General features: G+C 40.8%; 1 long non-coding RNA gene across 1 annotated transcript in view; it reads right to left on the bottom strand.

The window, feature by feature from the left end:
* Positions 1 to 16,223, bottom strand: part of CIBAR1-DT (CIBAR1 divergent transcript) — a 353,967-nt gene that overhangs the window by 180,876 nt on the left and 156,868 nt on the right. The window contains exon 7 of the long non-coding RNA NR_033858.1: positions 3,876 to 3,963. This is a non-coding gene — a long non-coding RNA (CIBAR1 divergent transcript). The remainder of the gene's footprint in view (positions 1 to 3,875; positions 3,964 to 16,223) is intronic.

The raw sequence follows: 16,223 nt of genomic DNA on the forward strand, positions 1-16,223 counted from the left end.
CTGATGATTAGTGATGTTGAGCATTTTTTCACATGTTTATTGGCTATTTGTACATCTTCTTTTGAGAAATGTCTATTTATTTCCTTTGCCCACTTTTTGATAAAATTATTTGTTTTTTTGTTGAGTTCCTTGTAGATTCTGGATATTAGTTATTTGTCAGATGCATAGTTTGCTTATATTTTCTCCCACCTGTGGGTTGTCTGTTTGCTCTGCCGATTATTTCTTTTGCAGTGCAGAAGCCTTTTAGGTTAATTAGGTCCCATTTATTTATTTTTGTTTTTGTTGCATTTGCTTTTGGGGTCTTAGTCATGAATTCTTTGCCTAAGCCAATGTCCAAAAGAGTTTTTCTGGTGCTATATTCTAGAATTTTTATGGTTTCAGGTCTTAGATTAAAGTCTTTGTTCCATCTTGAGTTGATCTATGTATAAGGTGAGAGATGGGGATCCATTTTTATTCTTTACATGTGGCTTGCTAGTTTTCCCAGCACCATTGATTAAATAGGGTGTTCTTTCTCCAATTTATGTTTTCCCATTCTTTGTTGAAGATCAGTTGGCCGTAAGTATTTGGTTTTATTTCTGGTTTCTCTATTTTGTTCCATTGGTCAACATGCCTATTTTTATACCAGTACCATGCTGTTTTGGTAACTATAGCCTTGTAGTATAATTTGAAGTTGGATAATATGAAGTCTCCAGATTTGCTCTTTTTGCTTAGTATTGCTTTGGCCATGTGGGCTCATTTTTGTTCCATATGAATTTTAGGATTGTTTTTTCTAGTTCTGTGAAAAATAATAATGGTATTTTGGTAGAAATTGCATTGAATCTATAGATTGCTTTGGGCAGTGTGGTCATTTTCACAATGTTGATTCTTCTCATGCATGAGCATTGAAATGTATTTCCATTTGTTTGTGTCATCTATGATTTCTTTCAGTAGTGTTTTGTAGTTTTCCTTTTAGAGATCTTTCACTTCCTCATGATTGCTTTTCATGATTAAATATATGTATTGGGCAATACATTCTTTGACTCTTTTCCTATTTTATCCCTTAGCATTGTTATTTATATTCTCTTAACTATCTCCCCACAACTTTCTTTAGGTTCAGCCTTCTTGGCTGCCATTTAACCTTGGCCTCTGTAGCTTCATAACTCCATCGCCCTCATTAGTATCTATTAGGATTGTAACAGCCTCTCCTACCATCAGCCTTTGCCTGCAGAGGAGAGCCAAGTAAAAATAGCTGAAGACCATCCAAATGATAATAAACAGAGCTTGCTACAAGGGAGTCAGTCACCATCACTTGTGTTTGGCCTAGACTCAAAGGCAGGCAAGGGAGCAAAAAGATTAGTAATGAAAAATAAGGGAAGGCTTCAAGTATGCTGTTTGGAGGTTGTTGGCATGAGGAAGCTGGAGGCAGGCTAACTAGAAGTGAGGCATCCTATGAGATTGATTTGATGAGCAGATTTGGCTTCTTCTGGTTGGTCCTGAGTTGGAATCAGAGGTAAAAATAATGAAGCTGGCCATTACTGGCTAAGTCCTGACCATTCTGGGACAAATGCTACAAAGATTGGGGTTTGTCTCCTCAAGCTCTTTATAGTGGCCATTGTTCACTTTTTCAGCCTGTCGTCTACTACTGACCTTAGAGATGTTGGTGCCTCTCTCACCTGGGCTTGGTGTATGCCCTGGACTCCTATGGAACATACTTCTTAGATGGTCTTTCTGGCCTTGCAGAATTCATCCAAAATGCCCATTTCCATAGGTTTTTTAATCCCTCTTCCATTATGTGTCATAGTAATTCGGTCATCTAAACTGTTGGTCACTGTTTTCAGAAGGCTTTCAAGGTCTTTGCCTGGATATTAAATACTGTATCTTTTAGAAAAAGTTCCCACATTAATAAGCTCACTCTTATCCAGTCTCGTGTTCTAGACCTCTTGATCAAGCAACCACAAATCCAGTCCCCTAGAGTCTCTCCCCACTCCTACCAGTTAATGTCAGCTAATTCTTGTAGCTCCCTTTCCTCCTTTATAAGGCCCAGTGTGTCCCTAGCTGGGCTTTGCTGCAACTCAACCAAAATGATCAACCTTATGGCTAGGAGAAGAGATGAGAATGGATCCTAAGGAGGAAATCTACTGCTTTGTAAGAAAGATGTCTCTACAGTGTGTTCCCACCTGCAGAGAGTGCCCACTCTTAGAAGGAATGAGTGAACTAACTGCAATGCTGAGGAGTCAGTGGAGTCTAAGGAGCCAAAATCTTCGGGGGCATCAATCCAGATGTCCCCATCTCATGTGTCAGGGCCCCACATGTTTTCAACAAGGCTCCTGGTCCTTGCATATATCCCTTTCATGGACTAGTCAATCATCTTAGGAGCTTGGCAACTCTATTAAATCCTGAGTTGGTCTTCAGCTTATTCTGCTCACAGACTGCAAGAAGTAAGAGTCTGAAAACCACAAAAAGCCTCTGTCGATATTCAATTGTTTGTTAACTGCCTCCAACTTTTCATTATTCCTCTGTAAGACATCGGTGCAACTTAGTAACAATCAGGCAATTCTACCAGATTTAGCAGTTGGGCTGCTACTTCTTGACATAGTGTCTATGTCCCACATCCTTGCCAGGCAGCAGTGAATGGTTCAGTTCTCAAGCCCTATCATATCTCCTGCTTTCTTGGGCTACTATCGCTACCAAAACTGTCAGTTGGGCTTCTGAGAAACAGACACTGAAATGGAGTTAAGATGCAAAAAGTGCATGGGCCTAACACCCATGAAAAGTAAAAGGGGAAGGAAGAAAAACTGGTCATGGAGGGTCTCCAACTATGATGGAGACCCAACCCAGTCTCAGCCAACCCACTTAGCAGCTCCAGACAGGGGAAATGTCCATTAGAGGAATTCCATGTTGAGCAGCAAGGGTCCATCATTGGCCAGGAGCTGCCTGGGAAGCTGAGGTAAACCTGAAGTTACTAGAAGAGGAGATCGTCAGCTAACTGCACTTTGCGCAGCTGAACAGCAAGTTCTCTCTTGAGAACACTCCCAGCAGCAAACTTCCATGGCAACATCATCCAAGTCCCAACATTTATACTTCCTTTCTTTTTCTCAACTTACTCTGTTGACTATAACTTTCAGACAAACGCTAGTTAATAACAGGTACCTTGCTCTGACTTTTTAAATTTGATGAGAACATCTTAAGTATTTCCCCTTAAACATAAGCTTGGCTATTAGTTTCAGACATTCTTTATCATGTTAAGGAAGTATAGTCTACTTATAGTTTAACTAAGGGTTATTAGTCCTTATTAGAAGGGAATACAAATGGCTACTTAGCATCTATCAAGATCTTTTTGAACTATGATATAATAATATTAGAGTTCTTAGATGTCTGTCTCCTGGTTCTTGCTTTTGTTTGTTTGTTTTTCAGCCTTGTACTTTCTCCTTGTCTTAGACTTGATGACTGAACTGAGTTTCCCTGATTTTACCTTGTGCATTCTCTAAGAACCTTCTCTCTCTCTCTCTCTTTCTCTCTCTCTCATTCTTTCCTTCATTGGGTTGCCTTTCTGTAGCCTACAGCACGCAGATCTCAATACCTGCCTGCCTGACCATGCTGTTGTCATTAATTCAATAATTGGTGCTTGTTCTTTCTTATCTTTAGAACTGTTACTTTCATGTCATGCTTTAAACATCCTGAAACTTTCTCTAATTCAAACCCAGTGCCTCAACTCATTAGATTTCATTCAAATAATGACTTTACGTTCAACTACAGCAGCAAGAGTTTTCCCACCACAAATCCTATTCTAAATTCTATGTGCCAACTCATGCAAAATTATTGACTCAATCACCTACACTATAATTTCTACAAAATAGAGTGTTAGTAAAGAAGGGCAGCCTTCTGTCCTTTCTTACCACCTAGTTGTCTTCAGAATATCCATTCAAAAATCCACACCAGCTTGCTCTTGCACAACTGCACATCTGGATTTCTCAATATAATTTCCTACAGAAAGAGCACAAATGCTTTAGAGATGGCTTTTCTATTGTGGACTATTACTACACTCTATTTTGTTTATTATAAAAAATGTTCAGAAATAATTTGAGACTTGCAGGATTTATTACTGTATTGTCAGCCTTTGATTTTATAGACAGAAGCTATTTATGGGCCAAGTTGCATGATCTCGATATTGATTCCTGGCTTTTAACAGTCCTTTGGAGCCTTTACTGTAATACCAAAAAGGGATCAAAATGGATAGGAAATGAGCTCTTGACAGAGCAGACTGCAGTCCCAAATGATACAAATGTCCAAGCCCACCTACTCCTTAATTTCCACCCAGACCATTAGATACATCTTTTGATAATTTGGATGCATGACCTCCTGTCATAGCATCCTCCTTTATGCTAATGTCACATTTCTATTTTCATTCTGAGAGTGGCCTAAGGAGCAACTATGCTTGTTGGGCAATTACTACCATGAGGAACAGCTCAATATCAATTAGACCAATACCAGGATTGCTGCTTTTGGCAAACACTCTTCAGCATTTAGATAGCAAATGCAGGGCACCTCTTAGAAAAGATAAACTCATTTCATTATCTAATGGAGCATTTTGCAACTAATTCATCCAGACAGGCTCATTGGAATGCAGTCCAATACAAAATTAAATAGCTTACAAGTTCTACTATGGTAGAGACAGGATACTTGTGATATGGTTTGGATCTGTGTCCCTGCCCAAATCTTATGTCGAATTGTAATCCCCAATGTTGAAGGTGGGGCCTGGGGGAAGTGATTGGATTATCCAGGTGGATTTCTCACAGATAATTTAGCACTATCCCCTAGGTGCTGTACTTGTGATAGTGAGTGAGTTCTCATGAGATCTGGTTGTTTAAGTGTGTAGCAGCTCCCCCTCTTGCTCTCTCTCTTGCTCCTGCTTTTGCCATGTGAACTGCCTGCTCCCCCTTGGCCTTTGCCATGATTGTAAGTTTCCTGAGGTGTCCCCAGAAGCTGAGCAGTTGCCAACATCATGCTTCCTGCACAGCCTGCAGAACCATGGGCCAACTAAACCTCTTTTCTTTGTAAATTACCCAGTCTTGGGTACTTCTTTATAGCAGTGTGAGAACAGACTACTACAACTTGTATGGCCAATGTTCAAAAGTCTCCTGTCAGAACCCACTATGAATATTGGAGCACGGCACCAAGACCGGATTGATCAGGATGATGGCAATGGACCTATTCAGCAGACAAGGTCATTACTCCACCCAAAACCCCCTCATGCCCTTCCTGCTGTTCCTGGGTGCCCCTTCTCTAGGTTCTGTGTGCTCACATCCAGCATGTGTATGTGTTCTTTGATGAACAACCCTCATGGCACTGGAGTGGCTTTGCCCCTCATAGTCAGAGAGCCAAAAGTGTTGAGGCTTTACATTCCAGCTCCCCCAACAGGGAATCATTGTCAAACAATGTGACTATTGAGTGCAAGAGCATGAAAGCCCAACTCCAACTTCCCTGTCTGAGGTGGGAAAATTAGAGAGTATAGTCATGTGCCACATAAAGATATTTCAGTCAATGACAGATGGCATATATGAAGGTGGTTGCATAAGATTATAATGAAGCTGCCCCATACAGTTGTATTTTTTTATCTTTTATACCATATTTTACTGTATCTTTTCTGTTTCAATACATGAATACTTACCATTGTGTTACAGTTACCTACAGTACTCAATACAGTAACATGCTGCACAGGTTTGCAGCCTAGGAGCAATAGGCTACCCTATAGCCCAGGCGTGTAGAAGGCTATGCCATCTAGGTTTTTATAAGTTCACTGTGACTGTCACACAACAGAATTGCCTAATAAAACATTTTGCAGTAAGTTATCTCAAATGACACACAACTACTGTACAATTGACACCCCAGAGTTCTGTAGATCAGTCAAAGCTACCCTCCAAGGGACTCTGCCTGAGATCTTACTGCTTGGCTTCCTTTTCTTCCCTGTCCAGCTTCTCCCATGCCCCTTCTTCTCGGGACACTTCCATAACAAAGCATTTACATGCAAATATTAGTCTTAGGGTCTGCTTAATAGAATCTGACTTAAAACAAACTGCTAAGCATTTTCCACTTAGAAACACGTTTGGCCCTGGGCAATGGGAGGCTGAGCTCTTACGTAAGGGTCACATAGTGCCAGCTGTCGGGAGAGGAAGGAGAGTTGGGAACCAAACAGCCTAGTGTCTCTGATCAAAAGCTAAGAGGAGTGAATTGGTATTGGAGAGGAGAATTAGCTTTATTTCATTATCTTATTGTTTTAAAGTCCATGATCTTAGAGTAAGCAGTGTAAAAAGCATGCAGAACCTTCAGGATGTCTAGCTGGGCACAGTGGCTCACACCTGTAATCCTAGCACTTTGGGAGCCCCAAGTAGACAGATCACGTGAGGCCAGGATTTCCAGATCAGCTGGCCAACATGATGAAACCCCGTCTCTATTAAAAATATGAAAAAATTAGCCAGGCGTGGTTGTGCACTTCTGTAATCCCAGCTACTAGAGAGGCTGAGGCAGAAGAATCGCTTTAACACAGGACGCGGAGGTTGCAGTGAGCTGAGATCGTGCCACTGCACTGCAGTCTGGGCCACAGAGCAAAACCCTGTCTCAAAAAGGAAAAAAAGAAATCCTTCAGGGTGTCTGCATAAGAACATGTTTTCACTTGTTCACTGTCACAGTTCGGGCTTTCCCAGAAGCAGAAGCAGACACTAAGAGGTTAACATGGAGGACGTTTATTAGGGAGTAGTTTGGGTATCAACACTGTGCAAGGGAAGAGTAGAAAGCAAAAAATGAACAGATGGAGAAGCTGGGCTGAATGGTTCTCAATGGAGGCCTCTGCCAACACCACAGGAAGCTGTGAGGTTGGGTGGTCTCCTTTAGAGTTGTACCAATTTAGGTGAGAAGGTTGAGCTCTGTGTCAGTGAGTCATTGGATGAAGGCTTTCCCAGGAAGGGAGCCAACCTTGGGCAGCTGGAGGAATAAGTCCTTCAGTCCTTAATGAGATCTTGACAACACATCACAGAATCCACTATGTTCTTATCACAAAATCCTATAGAAATAACAGGATAAAAACATTTTTTAAAAGTTGTAGTTGCAGTAGACTACCAGGAGAGGTGTTTCTAGCAAAAGTGAACAAGGATGTCTTTCAAGAATAAATTGATGGGAAAGGATTGATAACAATGCCCAATTGTTTCAGATAAGAAATCTGAAGTGATAGGTGCCAGAGAAATATCCCAAGCAATATCCCAGGAGATATTCCAGAATATCCCAGGCAGAATTCCAAATAATCCCAGCATCAAAAGCAACAGAAGCTGAATGATGGTGAACACCACAGGCTTTGAGATGGATTTTCACACAGCTGTCTTCTGGATCTCAGTCACCAGGCCACGAGGGCTGTACCATGCTCAACTTCATCCCTGGCAGAACGACACCACTGGACCTGCATCCACAGCAAGACACGATTGAACTCCTGGGTAGCTGCCACTTAGTTTTTCAAGCTAAAATCTCAGTGGCAAAAGGAATGGAATTAATATAAGAGCATAAAGAACAATATCTGGACCATGTGTGTGCTCAATAGGTGGCTGTTATTATGATTAGTATTCATAAATTATGGCTTACTTAACTCTTTGATTTTCATGATTATAGCAAAGGTATTTCATTTCCCCCAGGCAAGAAAGATGTTATTTATGAAATTATAAGTTAATAATTAACTATAAATCATAGTAAGTATGAAATCCATGCAATACCATTTTGACCTGCTATTTAAAAAAAAAAAAAAACTTAGTAATCTGTGGTTATGACTATAGACTGGTGAAGAATAAAACCGCTCAGCACATTTGTCTAAATCCAGTCCTCCTCCTGGGTCCTCTGTATCCATGGTTGGCATTCCCATCCATCCAGTCACCAAGCTAGAAGTCTTGGAGGCATCCTGTACCCTCTCCATCTCTCCCATACCCTCTCAATAAGTCATCAAGTCTTCCCTCTCTTCCCTCTTGCCAGCCAACTGTGCCTGCCATGTCCACTTTTCACCTAGACCACTGAGCTCATCACTTGGCATTGTAGATTCTAAAAGATCCATCATGATTTGCCCTGTTCCCCACCTTTCCAGGCTCATCCCTCACCACTCCTTGCCTCGCATGTGATGTTTCAGAAACACCAAAATATTTTCAATTCCTCCCACACACACTTGTTTTCACAAGTTACCCCGTCTGCCTAGAATCTCCAGTAGAAGCTGAATCTGCTGTTTCAGGTCTATAGTTAAACATTAAACTCAAAAACCACTATCTCCAAAATGCTTTCTCTGACTCTCAAAGGTAGATGGAATCCCTCTTCTCTGATTACTCAGCCCCCAGGCATGCTTCATCATTGCATTTATCATTGTCTAGTGCAATGTTCTCCTCAGGGGAAGTTCCAGAGTAAGATGATTGTGAGTGGAAAAACCAACTCAAACTATGTTTTTCTCTGCTCCCACACCACAACAGCAATCAACACAGAAGACTTCTGTGTCCAAATATGTGGAGGATTTTCCCCCACAACAAGCAAGCAGTCAGTTCTGCAGTGGACACCAGCTGGGTGTCCTCTAATTTAATTCAATTCGGACACTATTTCCCTAGAGATAGGGTCAGATCCCACAGGTTGAGAACTTAGTCCCACAAGACCAGCCCCCACCCCCATGAGTTGCAGGTCTGGGCCTCCAAAACTTCCAACTAACTGGCTTCATGTTGGGGTTCCCATTGTCCCCTCTTTGGGTTCTATTAGTTTGCTAGAGTGGCTTACAGAACTCAGGGAAACACATTTACCCTTATTATGAAGGATACTAAAAGGAGACAGATGAAGAGATGCACAGGGTGAGGTATGGGAAAAAGGACACAAAGCTTCCATGCCCTCCTTTGCACTCCACCCTCCAGGGACCTCCATGTTTTCAGTTGTCTGGAAGCTCCTGAACCCAGTCCTTTTGGGTTTTTATGAAGGCTTCATTATGTAGGCATGATTGATTAAACCATTGGTCATTGGTGATCAACTTAATCATCAGTCCCTCTCTCCTCCACAGAAGGTGGGGAGAGGGGCTGAAAGTCTCAACCCTCTAATCATGCCTTGGTCTTTCAGGTGACCAGCCTCTATCCAGAAGCTGCTTAGGAGCTTTTAGCCATCAGTCAACCTTTAGTATACAAAAAGACATCACTTTGGAGATTCTAAGGATTTAAAGAATGCCAAGAAACGGAGTTGAAAAACAAATAAATTCATCACAATGTTGCAATGATCCAAGTTCAAATCTGACTCTGTCACTTACTAGCTATGTGATTTTGAGCAAGCCCTTTAGTGTCACAGTTTCCTAATCTGAAAAAATGGGGTAATAAATGATGAACAAAATGACACATATAAAGAACTCAGCATAGCACCTGGCAAATTATAAACCTTAATAAATCAAAGGTCTCGTTATTGTGAGTGTCTTCCATTGGTAGACTTATTTCAGTTTGCATACCAAGCATCTGTTCCTGACACAGAAAAGCTCATCAAATGCATATTGATTCAATTAATACATGAACAAATGAAGGGATGGATGGATGGATGGATGGAAGTACCAGTCACTATTTCGCTGACAACAATGCAGAACCCGAGGTGGCATCCAGAGGATTAAAGGTGATTTGCTTGTTTCTCAGGCACACTACATTCATCTTCCCATACCTACCCAAGCCACCTTCATACCTGTCTGATCCCCAGGCTGCAGGTGGGCCCCACAACCTCGCTACATTCTGCACCACCTCACACAGCACTCAGCTATGTTCGCGTGCAGTTTTCTGAATGTAAGAAATTTCTCAGAGAAATAATCCTAGGGTTTTGTTTTTCTTTTCTTTCTGGAACAAAGAACACGAAACACAGATAATAGAGTTGGGGGAGGGAGAAACCATCTCTTTTCTCAGAGTTGAAAAGGGCAAGTGACTATAAAATAAGAACATTCAACCCCCAGCTGAGAGATAAAAATAGAGAGAGGGCCATTAGGCCCAGAGTTTTCACCTGTGTCCCTCTCTGGCTGCTCATGGACATGGACAGGAGGGAGCCCAGAGGGAACCGAATGGCTCTTGTCCCTGCACAGAAGGGCCCTTCTGATGCTGGCCTGGCTCTTTTTTACCCTCCTGACAGTGGCTCTACAATGTAAAGGAAGGACACCCACCCACACTCTGTTAGCATCAGGAATTTATACAATCATTCCAAATGTTAAAAAAAAAAAAAAAAAAAAAAAGGAAACAATCCCAAAAATGTTCCTACCACTCTACATTCTTAGCAAACACATTTTTAAGAAAATAAACCAAATCCTGCTATGTACCCAATTTGTGTTTTTCTTTAGCAGTCAGCAGCCTGGCCCATTTTATATAAGGCATCAGACTCCCTGCCCCAGTATAATGTCTTGGGTTCTCTTGGGGAGGTCTAAGTGTAACATAAAATATTGTCCCTAAAAATATATACACACTATGCTACGAAGATGGACAGATGTTTCCTAGTGGTTAATGAGTACCATTTCTCTCCAGTTTCCCTGACAGGCTGAAACTAAAAACAAATACACATTTATACATACACAAGGCCCATCTCAATAAAAGAATGTAACTGTCGGCCCAAACATTTTCAAGATGGTCAGAAAACAGACTTTTTTCCTCTTTTTATTGTCCTTTTACTTAGAGAACATTCAAATTCTTCCTTTAAAGCACTGAACACCATTATTAAAATTTCAGACTACTGTAGAATATATATACACACACACACATATACATGTATGTATACACGTGTGTGTATAAATATGTGTCTGTGTACATGCACACACTCACAGGTTCCTAGGAAAAAATCAGCTGTTTAACTTTAAACAAGAAGTGAATCTCAGGAAAAAGGGAAAGCTGGAGCACTTTGATCCTGTCTTACAGCCCCATGCTTGTTATGGGGCTTCAGAGAATCACAGAGTGTTGGAGCTAGAAGTCGCTTCAAGGTCAAATTCTTCCCTTCACCACTGAGAAAACCAGGGCCCAGCAAAGTGAAGTGACTTCCAAAGTCACAAAGCCAGATGGTAGAAAAGCTGTAAAACGCAGTTCTATATTCTGATAGGACAACTCCTGGGAGACATGGGCTTAGGAAATACTGGATAATGGTGGGTAGCGACACCAGTCAGCACCTGACCTGGGAGGAAGCTTCTCAAACCCTCAGAACAGAATATTTCAAAGTCTGTAATCTTTGGACCTGGCCATGACAGCAAGTAATACCAGCAGTGATGCTAGCAGCTAGATCAATAATCAAGACATGCATGGCAGGGGCTGTTCACACAGAGCTTTGCAAACCTGGGAGTGGTAATTCTGCCTCATGAGTGCAGTTATGAAGGGCATGCATTGCCATGGCTTTCTTCTATTCTTATCATCTTCTTTCATTCTTCCTTTTGCTACCATTTTTCTTCTTTCTTCTCTCCTTGCTTACCCTACCATGTACCCAAACTGCTCCTTTACAGTCCCTGTCTGCACGTGGTCAGTCACAGTCCAGTGACTTCAGGGATTCTAGCAGCTAAATCATACCAACAGTTCCGTGATAGGATTCATCATACAATGGCCTGATGTGCAAAAACAATCTCTTGAGTCCCAAAAGCAGGCTGGGGGCAGGGAGAGAGCAGAACATATTGTTCTGTTAATCAGCAATAATTTTTGAGAATCCACTGTAACAGGGTGTTTTCATCAACTGTAGAAAACTGTGAGCAAGTGGCAAGAGGCCACAGCAGGCACTTAGCTGACACTTGCTCCTAGAATCCCTCTCTGCAGCTCAGGGAGAGTGCTGCTGTGGTGGAGAGGGGAGGAGGCAGGAAAGGGGAGAGGAGAGGGGAGAAGAGGGAGGAGAAAAGGGAGGAGAGGAGGTCAGCATTCAGCTAGGAGCCACCGTGCCCATGCCAATGACTGAGGGCTTTATATGACCCAAGGTCAATCTGAGGGGAGGCGGGAGGAAAACAGCACAATGACTCCTTCCATCCCAGAAAATACCCATGAGGTCAACAAAACCATTCAGATATTTCTGGTGTTTAAAGAATTTCAGTAGTAAAATTTCAATTTTTTCTGTTCTTTCACGGGAACTTTAAAAGTGGATCAAACATGTCACAATTTTTAGAAAGCTCAATGCTGTCACTAGATTTAAAGTTTCAAAGATAAAAAGGATGCCTCTCAAAACCAGTTGCATTTGTGAGTATATGTATTTTTAGTTTTATTATTTTTTAACTGATAAATAATAATTGTACATATTTATAGGGCTCACTGTGATGTTTGGTTACTTATATACATTGTGGAATGATCAAATCAGACTAACATTATATTATCACTGTTCAAATTATGGCAAATGGAATTAGAAATCAATTATAGTGACTAAGCATTTTGTAAAATAAAGATATTTTTTGTTCACCAACCTACTCTCCTAATGTTATTTACATCACTAGAAAACACCAGAAGTTTTGAAAAATTTTGATCCACATTCCATCAGATTGCAAGGAATTCATTGCAACAATAAATTAATTATACCCAAACCAAAAACTGTGTCTTTTTCCTTTTGCTGGTGGTGGGGGAGGGGGGGCAACTGAGTTCTTTTTATTCTCTATTAAGTAAATTTTTTAAGTGAGTTTTTAAAACCTATTAATGTAAAGTGACACGTTTCAATGCTAAGAGGTGCTCACTATACTAACAGCAGACCCACATTACACAGATGGAGTTGCCTTCCTTCTTCGCCTCATAAACGTTAAGAGTGGCACACATAGCTTTTTCACTGTAGATGAACACTTGGTACACACAATAATTGAGACCTTTAACTTGTGTGTTTCCCTAGGCTTGGTGTGACTGAGTCTGTAGCCTCCTTGTGACAAGGGTAGGGATTTTTCATTGAATACATATATCCCCATAATTGTGGAACATACTCAGTGGTTGTCTCAATCAGCACATGGTTGGTTGTTAGTTTTGTGTTTCTTCTTTTTTCTTTTTTGTTTTAATTTCAAGAAAAACTAATGAGTTTCCAGAAGCAGTGTGAGTGCTTTGGGGCTGAATGTGATTTAAAACCGGCAGTAAAAGAAAAAGAAGACAGGGAAGGTAGCTGGTTAATTGACCTTTATTGTGCCTTCTGGTTCATTTAGAAATGGAAATTAAATTAACATGATAATTCAGTCCTACTGTGTTAAGGCTGCTATAAACCCATTAAATTTTATGGCCATTGATTTAGCATTTTTTTCTATTAACTGGGTTTAATTTTCAAAATTGTCATGCAGGTTCTGAAAAGTGGTTCATTCACTCTGGTTCCTCCAACTTACTAATGTGTAGTCTTTTCCTTTTTTAATAGTATTCACTTAACTATTCAAGCGCAGAGGGCCCAACTGCCCTCAAAAGCCTGGATTAATTTTGAAACTAACCCCATTGAAAGTCTTTATAAGCAGCAAGGAGAGTTCAGGGATGGGAGAAGTCAGTGAAATTTCCTGGTACCATATCAATTTCTTAAAGATCAGATGCCCGAAAACCCTGACAAAAGGAAATATTTTGGATTTCCTTTTTGGGAGATCAAGGGAACCATGAAAAGAGTTTGTGTTGGTACTTCTATTTCTTAAAGTATCTCAATAACATAAACGTATTTTAAAATGCAACCATTCCTTGTATTTCAGATCCCCAAACATCTTTTTTTTAAATCTACTAATTTGAAATTATAACCAATCAAAACTTTCTAATTTTGAACTATTAAAAGACATCCATTTTTACTTGAAGCTAAAAGCAATTTTCTAGATTCTTTCTTTAGCAGACATAGGCTTGTGTACCTTCTAATGTGGCAGTGAGTAGCCTTTTAGTTTAATAACTCAAGACACTGAAGTTTTATTGTGAAACTTATTGACAGATGAGGTCTCAGAGAATTACCAAAAGATTCTGTTATTTAACTTTGAAGTATTCATGAAAAGTAGAAATTTAGTTTATAGTTTAACTTCGAAACAAAAATGCTAACAGCCCTTTCCTGAAACAAGCCCTCTTCTTGCCTGGGGACCAGATTGCCTTTGTAGGACTGACAAATTATAAATAGCCCAGATTCAAAATTATGGTTTAGGAGTCATTCAGCTAGAGGCCACAAGATTCTAAACCTCCCCAGTTGCTCCTAGGGATAACTTCACTATTATAAAACCTGAGATCCGTTCTTGAGATATTTTTTAGACCCCGCACTCAATGGATCAGCTGGTGCCACCCAGATCAATACATTGGTTCATCTGATCTTGTGGCCCCCACCCAGGAACTGACTCAGCACAAGAGGACAGCTTCATCTTCCTATGATTTTATCTTTGACCCAACCAATCAATACTCCCCACCACCTGGCCACCTACCCACCAAATTATCCTTAAAATCCACAATCCCCATATTTTCACAGGGACTGATTTGAGTAATAATAAAACTCCAGTCTCCTATACAGCCAGCTCTGCATGAATTAAACTCTTTCTCGATTGCAATTCCTCTGTCTTGATAAATCAGCTCTGTCTGGGCAGTGGGCAAGGAGAACCCACTGGGCAGTTACAGTGGGAGGAATCATATCTGGAGTTTCTTGTGTAGTTCCTAGTATTTAATAGAGTATCTTGCTAAAGTAGAAGGTATTCAATATATAAAAATAATGATCACCAACACTTAATTATACAACATTGACTATCCATCCAGCACTATTCTAAGGATCGCATCTACATTAACTCATATAACCCTCACATAAGGTACAATTACCCTCTCCACCTTACAGATGAAGAAACAGAGGTACAGAGGAGTTAAGTAACTTATGCAGGGGTTTGAACCCATGCCACCTGTCTATGCTACCTATGTTGAATAATTGCAATACATTTATGTCTGTCAAGTTTTGTATTTTCAGCCCAGCATTATTCACTCCCATTCACTAGGCCAAGTAACTTAGATCATTTTTAACTTGCCCCCTTCTGGCACACCTCACTCCCCCACACCCAGCCCATCTTGGATTCTAGAATCCTGATTCTTTTTCATTTCCTGGTGATGGAATCTAATGATGTCCCCTTGAAGATAATTTATAAAATTCTCAATTATGTTAATGCTTCAAAACTTGAAGACTCTGAACTCTGTTGGTGACGGCCAGAGCGGGGGCCGGGGGGAGGATGAGAGAGTGAGTTTGAAGGGGAGAGGGCACTCCAGCATCTTCTGCCTCTTGTTTTTATGGGTTTGACTTTATAAAATTTGCTAGAGCAGCCTTTGGTTTCTTTATCAAGCACTGTGCCTGCAATGGGGGTGTCGCCAAGATGGAACTGATTAATCCTTTCCCTCTTTCCCTGCTGTTGCTCCAGCTTACCTCTATCCTAACACTTTATTTCTTGCCTGTTGGTCTCCTTCCAAAACTTGGAAGCTAGAGGTAGTGATAAGGACTGTGGCTGATGCAAAACTGTATCCTCAAGGCCTCGAATCATGTCTGATTCATTAGTGCTCAACAAATGATTGATGATTGAGTGAGTTCACAAGTGACTGAAAATAGACCAGCCCCTCACCAAGAAGCATAAATGAGAGTATACAGTATGTTCTAGTCATATTTTTTCCAGCGTTACACAATTAGATTATAAGCGTCTCAAAACAGGGTCCAGAAAGAAAGCCTTGTCTATATATCCTACAGCATCTGAGTGTCATCCATGTAGTCTGCAAGAAAAGAGCAAAGTAGACGTTCCAAAAGCTGAGTCAAGCTGAACACATTTGTTCTTACATCATAATCACCGAATCAAGGAGAAAATGCAATAAAAGCATAACCGAGAACTAGAACCAAATTTGGAAGACAGGAGACAACAAAATGTGCATCAAGCTAGAGGACAAGGCAAAGGCATGAATAAATGATACAGGGAAAGGTCGGTAACAAAGGACATTAAAAGGAAGTAGTGAAATGAGTTAGTAACCATACATTTATTTCCCAGTTCTGTCTGCTGAGAGGGCCTAGAGGTAATGATACCCCAGTATCGACAGGGCACAACCAGCACCCAGGTCTTGGTCTTTACCACTCTCTAACAAAATGAACCAGTGCTCTTTGAGGAAATAGATGATTCTATGACTGGGACAGAGAATACACAAGATGAGAATGGACCACCTTGTAGAGCCAGAAAGTAAGGAGGTATTCAAAAACCAAAAGTCTGAGAGCATGGCAAAGGGACAGAGGGGCCCAGTGAAAGAGCTCACAATTGCTAAAGCTTGGACAATGTGAGCAACAAAATAAAT

Source organism: Homo sapiens, chromosome 8 (assembly GCF_000001405.40).
Source record: "Homo sapiens chromosome 8, GRCh38.p14 Primary Assembly".
Lineage (NCBI taxonomy): Eukaryota > Metazoa > Chordata > Mammalia > Primates > Hominidae > Homo > Homo sapiens.